Below are 6,763 nucleotides of genomic sequence, written 5' to 3'. Positions count from 1 at the left end.
AGGTGGGAGGATCACTTGGGCCCAGGAGGATGAAGCTGCAGAGAGCTGTGATTGTGCCACTGCACACCACCCTGGGTGACAGAGCAAGACCCTGTCTCTAAAAAAAACACAAAATTATATTAAAGTAAAAGGGAGTGAAAGGTGATCATTATTATCAAACACTGCAGAAAAGTTCTCTTGGTAGAAGCACCTTTAATTTTTCAATGTTTTCACCCACTTATTTCAATTGATCCAAAACAACATCACCATCAGGAAAACTGATTTGAGAGGACCCATAAATCTAAACAGCATGCCATCGTGTACTTACCTTCTCCCATGCTGAAGACTTAAGTGTCGGATGGAAGCAAAACACAAGTCTAAAAGAATGGATGTGGGCCATACTTTCCTTGTGTTAAGAAAGCAGATTAAGTGTATGTGTTTATAAAGTCTGTTCCTTAATTGTAGGTTGCCTAGGAATAAGAAAATAAGAAATGATGCATTGTATTAACAGAAGATCTTATCAACTCTTCAGGGATATTGACTTAAGATACATGCATGATCTTTAGGGAGTCTGTGAGGACCCTGAATTTGTGTGTACGATGTGTTTACATGTGAACATGTGCATTTTTTAGAAAATCCATAGCTCCCATAAGATTCTAAAATAGTTCCATAGTTCAAAAACAATAGCTAAGGACAGTTGATTTAGAGCATCTAATGATTACCTATGAATTACCGTCAGATAACTGAGAGCAGTTTGCAAAGCTTAGCAAGCAGGTGTTGTAGTAGAATTCTCGTGAGTTATGTGAGTCAGAGATAGATAAATTGAAAGCACAGTTGCGCTGCCCTGAGCTCCCCCGTGGCTCAGCACAGCTGCTTGCTCCCAGCAATCTGATGCTTACGTAGACTCTTGAGGGATTGGAAAAAGAATCCCAAACTCTTGAGGAGGAGGAGGCCAAGTTGCCTCCAGGGGTGAGTATGACTTCTAAAAGACGCACAACAGATGTCTTTTACCACCTGCCTGTTATTGTTCACCTTTCCTCCACTGCCTAAGCCAATGCAGCGATTTTCCATACCTCAAGCAGCACAACTTTCAGAAGCTGCCAAGATTCTTGATGAGCTGATTAAAAAGCAGAATCTAGTTCCAGGGAAGAAAGGGAGAAAGTAGAGAAAAAAAGTGCTGGAGGAGCATATGACTCTAGTTCTGGTAGAACCCACCTGTAATCACAAATCACATTTACTCTAAATTCATAATGTGAAGTTCCCATTGGCATGCGGGCCTAAAGGGCATGCTGGCTGGACTGAACCAAATGGGACAATCAGACCCGGTGGGAGGAGAAGTAGCACTGGGCAGATCTAACTGGAGCTGAATGTAAAAGTATTTTTCAGGGATAACAGGTACCTACCTAGAGCAAGAGTTCCCAAATGGTCATCACAATTTCACCTAGGTAGGTCAGTCCTCCCAAGCCAATGACTAGTGCCCACTCCCTGTTCTCCAAAAGATTCCTTGCACGGGCAGCTTTTACCCTCCTCTTATTCATTTTCACTGTTCTGAGCCAGAGTTTTCCTGGGGTGCTCTGTTGCCTGAGGTGAAGAAGCCAGTTACCGGGAGTGCTAGATGAAACACTGATCCAGGGTATAGGAGATGGTCTACAAATTAGGGAAAGGAATGAGTGGGCCACAGCTCAAAGAAGCCAGATCACTGAGACATGACAATGTAAAGACCAGAGCACATGAGTGCTCGGGGACAAGCTGACAGACAATGCTAAGCTTCTAGAGAAGAAGCACAGGATGGGTCTGTCTTGGCTCAAATCACAATGATGTTGCATGAAGGCTGGCAGCATTCTACCCTGGAATGGCAGGAGGTGGCATCCTTCTTGAGGGTGGATGCAGGTTTTCAAGGCTATAGGATGATGCCACACAGCTTGCATTCCATCTCTGGTCAGCAACTTACATTCTGGAGAGAACAGGTGGGACACATAGAGCTTGGCAGACCTGAGTTCAAATCCCAGTTCTACCACTTGCTAGGTATAGAAACTTGGGCAATTTAATTAGCTTCAATTAACTTTTTTGTGGTAGCCTTCCCAAGTTATGAAATGGTGATAATATCACCTCTTAGAGATCTTGCAAGGATTGTGATAAGAGGTGAATATTACTAATATTTATAATAATATTATATTCTTTTCACATTCCAAATACTCCCAGCCATTGTTACAAACCCCCTGACCCCTTCTGCAACCCACAAATCTTACCCCCTAGTGAACGAAACCAGTTCTTCCTTAGGAAAAAGGTGGAAATCGCTTTCTGAGAGTTGGAGGGCTGCTATATAAAACTCAGCCTAGCATGACCCCCTGACTGGTGTCTTTCTTGAAGAATACACTTCAAGAAAGATTTGCAATGAAAAAAGCTAGAAACATTAATTGAATATATATTTTCTCCCCTCACCCCACCCCATTCCACAAGCCATGGACATCGGCCAAAAAGGTATGTGTGTTTTTACTCAACTCTATTCTGCAGGGGACGGAAGGATTTCAGCCTACTAGTTGTAACTATATAAATCCTTTTTTTAATGGAGCAAGAAGGTTCTGAGTCCTGAGTGACAAATGAAAATGTCTTCAGGGACCATGCTAGGTCCCTGAAGAGCTACTCTGGCTTGCATGAATCCCAGCTAAGATGCAACAAATTCAGAGCAACCCAGAAGTGCAAAAAGTGTCCTATTTATCCAGCTAAACAGGAGCAGAGCCTTTCCAAGGATTACTTTCTCCCTGCAGAGTGTGCCCTCTGCTGGGCTTCCTGGCCACTGGCATTTTGGCATCTCAGGCCAACAATGCTGCTGTTTCCTGGCTATGTAGGAACACTTGTAGTATTGCAACCAAATGCCTCTTGGGCAGTAACCACCGCCAAGCAGCGATATAACCAGGACCTAGTTTTTGAATTGTCTCCACATACTAACCCTTGAAACCAATGTATTAATTTCCTATTGCCGCTGTAACAAATTACCCCAAACTTTGTGGCTTAAAACAACACAAATCTATTATCTTCCAGTTCTCGAGGTCAGAAGTCTGAAATCAGTTTCACTGGGCTAAAGTCAGAGTGTTGGCAGGGCTGATTCCTTCTGGAGGCTCTAGGACAGGATTCCTTGCCTTGCCTTTTCTGACTTCCAGAGGCCTCTTGAATCCTTGGCATGTGATCCCTTCCTTGCATCACTCCAACCACTGGCATCTGTCATCACATCTCCAAAACTGCCCACTCTGATCTCCTGACTCCCTGTTTTAAGGGCCCTTATAACACTGGGCTCACAGGGATGATATCACTGGGTTCACAGGAAAAATCCAGGATAATCTCTCCATCTCAAGATCCTCAACTTAATCACATCTGCAAACTAGCTTTTGCCAAGTAAGGTCATATATTCATAGGCTCCAGGGATTAGGATATGGACATCTATGCAGGGGGCATTATTCAGCCTACCACACCCAGGCTTCTGCAACATGGAATACCAAAAAGACCATTGGACCAGGCGTAAGGAGAACTGGATTCCAAATCCCAGCTCTGCCACCCCTTTCTAGTTGGGTAACCTTGGGCAGGTCCCTTTATCTCTCCAAGCCTCAGCTTCTTTACTTATGAAATGGAGATGAGATAATAACCCATAGCTCACAACATGTTATTGAATGTATGAAAAGCTCTTTCCTATCATAGTAACTAACATAGAATAGGCACTCCATAAACCTGCTGTGTAGGCAATGTTTGTGTGGGGTGACAGGATGAGTAGTTAGAAGGCTACAGTAATAGTGCAGATGAAAGATAATAAAGTACTGAATGAAAGAGGCAATAGCAGGAATGGAAAGCAGGAGTGATAAGATAAATGGAGAGGTACACATGAGTCCAGATTTATACATTTCCTTGGGCTCAGGGTAAAATGAGCCTCATTTTCCATGATCATTGGACTTTATTTAAAAAGAAAGGCTTCTACTACTTCTCAGCCTAACGACCTTAAAAAAACCCAGAGTATAAAAGTGTCAGCTTGAAGGCCAGTGTGATAGGATGTGCAAAGGCACAGAGACACAAACTGGTAACAAAAGGGGACAAGATGTAATCTCTGTGGTTGACATGAGATGGGATGAACTCTTGGTGGCTGTCCACAGGTCTCACACAAGCTGCTGGCCTGTATGTCGATTTCCAACATCTTCCACTTATAAGTGGTGTAGCCCTTTGGAAATAAGTCACCCTCTCTGTGTGCCTTGATTTCCTAACCTGTAAAATCAAGGCATGAATAGTACCTACCTTACAGAATTGTCGTGAAGGTTAAATGAAACTCCATGTTGTATATTTAGCACAGTACCTGGCACTTAAAGGCCCCATAAATGTTAGCTGGTGTCATCCATTGCTGCAAGAAGACTCAGATGCCCCAGAAGGATAGGGCTATTTCCTCAAAGCGCCTCCCACTCCAAGAAGAGCCTCAAATACTGATTCTCCCACCCTGTCATGTCCTACATTTCTTTCAATCCACATATACCCCTCTCTTTACAGTTGTAGCTCAGGCTAGTAACAGCAATATAAATAAAAGGAAACACACATCCTCTCTGTCTCTGTCTCTGTCTCTCTCTCTCTCTCTCTTTCTCTTTCATGTATGTATGTATGTGTTATTTTAATATATATAATGTGTATACTATATAGTGTACATATGTATCTGTGTATTTTGTATATAACATATATTACATACATAAAATAGTGTATATATGTATGTGTATATATAAATATATACAGTTCTGTGGCACATAATGATGTTTCAGTCAACAATGGACCACGTATATGATGGTGGTCCCATAAGATTATAATACTGTATTCTTACTGTACCTTTTCTGTGTTTAGATATATTTAGATACACAAATACTTTCTGTGTTTAGATATATTTAGATACACAAATATTTAGATACACAATTGTTACCATTGTGTAATAATTACAGTATCCAGTACAGTAACAAGCTATAGGTTTGTAGCCTAGGAGCAATAGGCCATACCATATACCCCAGATGTACAGTAGGCTATACCATCTAGGTTTGTGTAAGTACACTGTGATGTTCACACAATGACGAAATTGCCTAATGATGCATTTCTTAGAACGTATCTCTATCATTAAGAGATATGTGACTATATATATTTGCATGGGTGTGCACTCACACACACATGCACTTTTGTGTTGTTTGGAAAATCCCTTTGCAAAATGGTGCCTGGGTTGGAACAGGGAGAGGTAGTTAAGGGGCATGTTTGTTTCTTTTGAAATTACATAGATACATTCTCGCTGTGAAAATATATGACAAGTTATCCGGCGCGGTGGCTTACGCCTGTAATCCCAGCACTTTGGGAGGCCAAGGCAGGCGGATCATCTGAGGTCAGGAATTTGAGACCAGCCTGGCCAACATGGTGAAACCCCGTCTCTACTAAAAATAGAAAAATTAGCTGGGCGTGGTGGCAGGTGCCTGTAATCCCAGCTACTCAGGAGGCTGAGGCAGGAAAATCTCTTGAACCCGGGAGGCGGAGGTTGCAGTGAGCCAAGATCGTGCCACTGCACTGCAGTCTGGGCGACAGAATGAGACCCTGTCTCAAAATAATAATAATAATAATAAAATATTATATATTATATATATATATGACAAGTAAAAAGTATTCAAAGCAAATCGTGACTCTTCAGCCCCCACCAGTCCCATTCCCTCCTCAAAGTTATTCACTCTTTGTTAATAGTCTCTTTTCTATGCATTCTGTGCATTTACATCCACATATATTTGGGTTCAGGGGTTTTTTTCATAAGTGAGCCAAGACTCTAGAAACTGGTTTCTGATTTGTCAATCAACAACATATCTTGGAAGTCTCTTTATATCAGTACATATAAACCTATATCATTCTTTTCACACTGCTGCATAATATTTTATAGTAATATATGTACCAGTCTAGTCATTCAGGAAGAGGTATTTATTAAATGTCGCTACACCTTTGTCCTTAGGCAAGATGCAGCTAAATCATCACAGGCACATGGCTGATCGAGGCACCATGAGAAATTAGGCCTGGCTTATCCTGGCTACCTTCCTAGAGTTCCTCTCCCAGTAGCCTGGTTCCAATGGCAGACTGTTGAAGGGGGGTTTGGGGGGGAAGAGATCCATGCAGCAGAGAATACCAGCGTGGTAGGTAGAAAAATGTCCCTCAACACAGATGTTCGTGTCTTAATCTTAGGAACCTGTGAATATGTGACTTCACATGGCAAAAGATACTTGCAGATGTGATTAAGTTAAGGATCCTGAAATGGAGGAGTTATCCTGGATTGTCCAGGTGGACCCAATGTCATCACAAGGGTCCTTTAAAAAGGGAAACAGGGGGCCGGGTGTGGTGGCTCATGTCTGTAATCCCAGCGCTTTGGGAGGCCACGGCGGGCGGATCACGAGGTCAGGAGTTCGAGACCAGCCTGACCAACATGGTGAAACCCCGTCTCTACTAAAAATACAAAAAAATTAGCTGGGCGTGGTGGCACATGCCTCTAATCCCAGCTACTCAGGAGGCTGAGGCAGGAGAATCGCTTGAACCCGGGAGGCGGAGGTTGTGATGAGCCAAGATGGCGCCACTGCACTCCAGTCTGGGCGACAGAGTGAGACTTTGTCCCAAAAAAAAAAAAAGGGAAACAGGAAGGTCAGAGAAGAAGACGTGACCATGGAGTGATGTGTCCAGGAGCCTAGGAGTGCAAGCAGCCTCTGAGAGCTGAAAAAGTTGAGGAAATGGACTCTTCCCTAGAGCCTCCCGA

Source organism: Homo sapiens, chromosome X, assembly GCF_000001405.40.
Source record: "Homo sapiens chromosome X, GRCh38.p14 Primary Assembly".
Taxonomy (NCBI): domain Eukaryota; kingdom Metazoa; phylum Chordata; class Mammalia; order Primates; family Hominidae; genus Homo; species Homo sapiens.
This window is presented reverse-complemented; position numbering follows the sequence as displayed.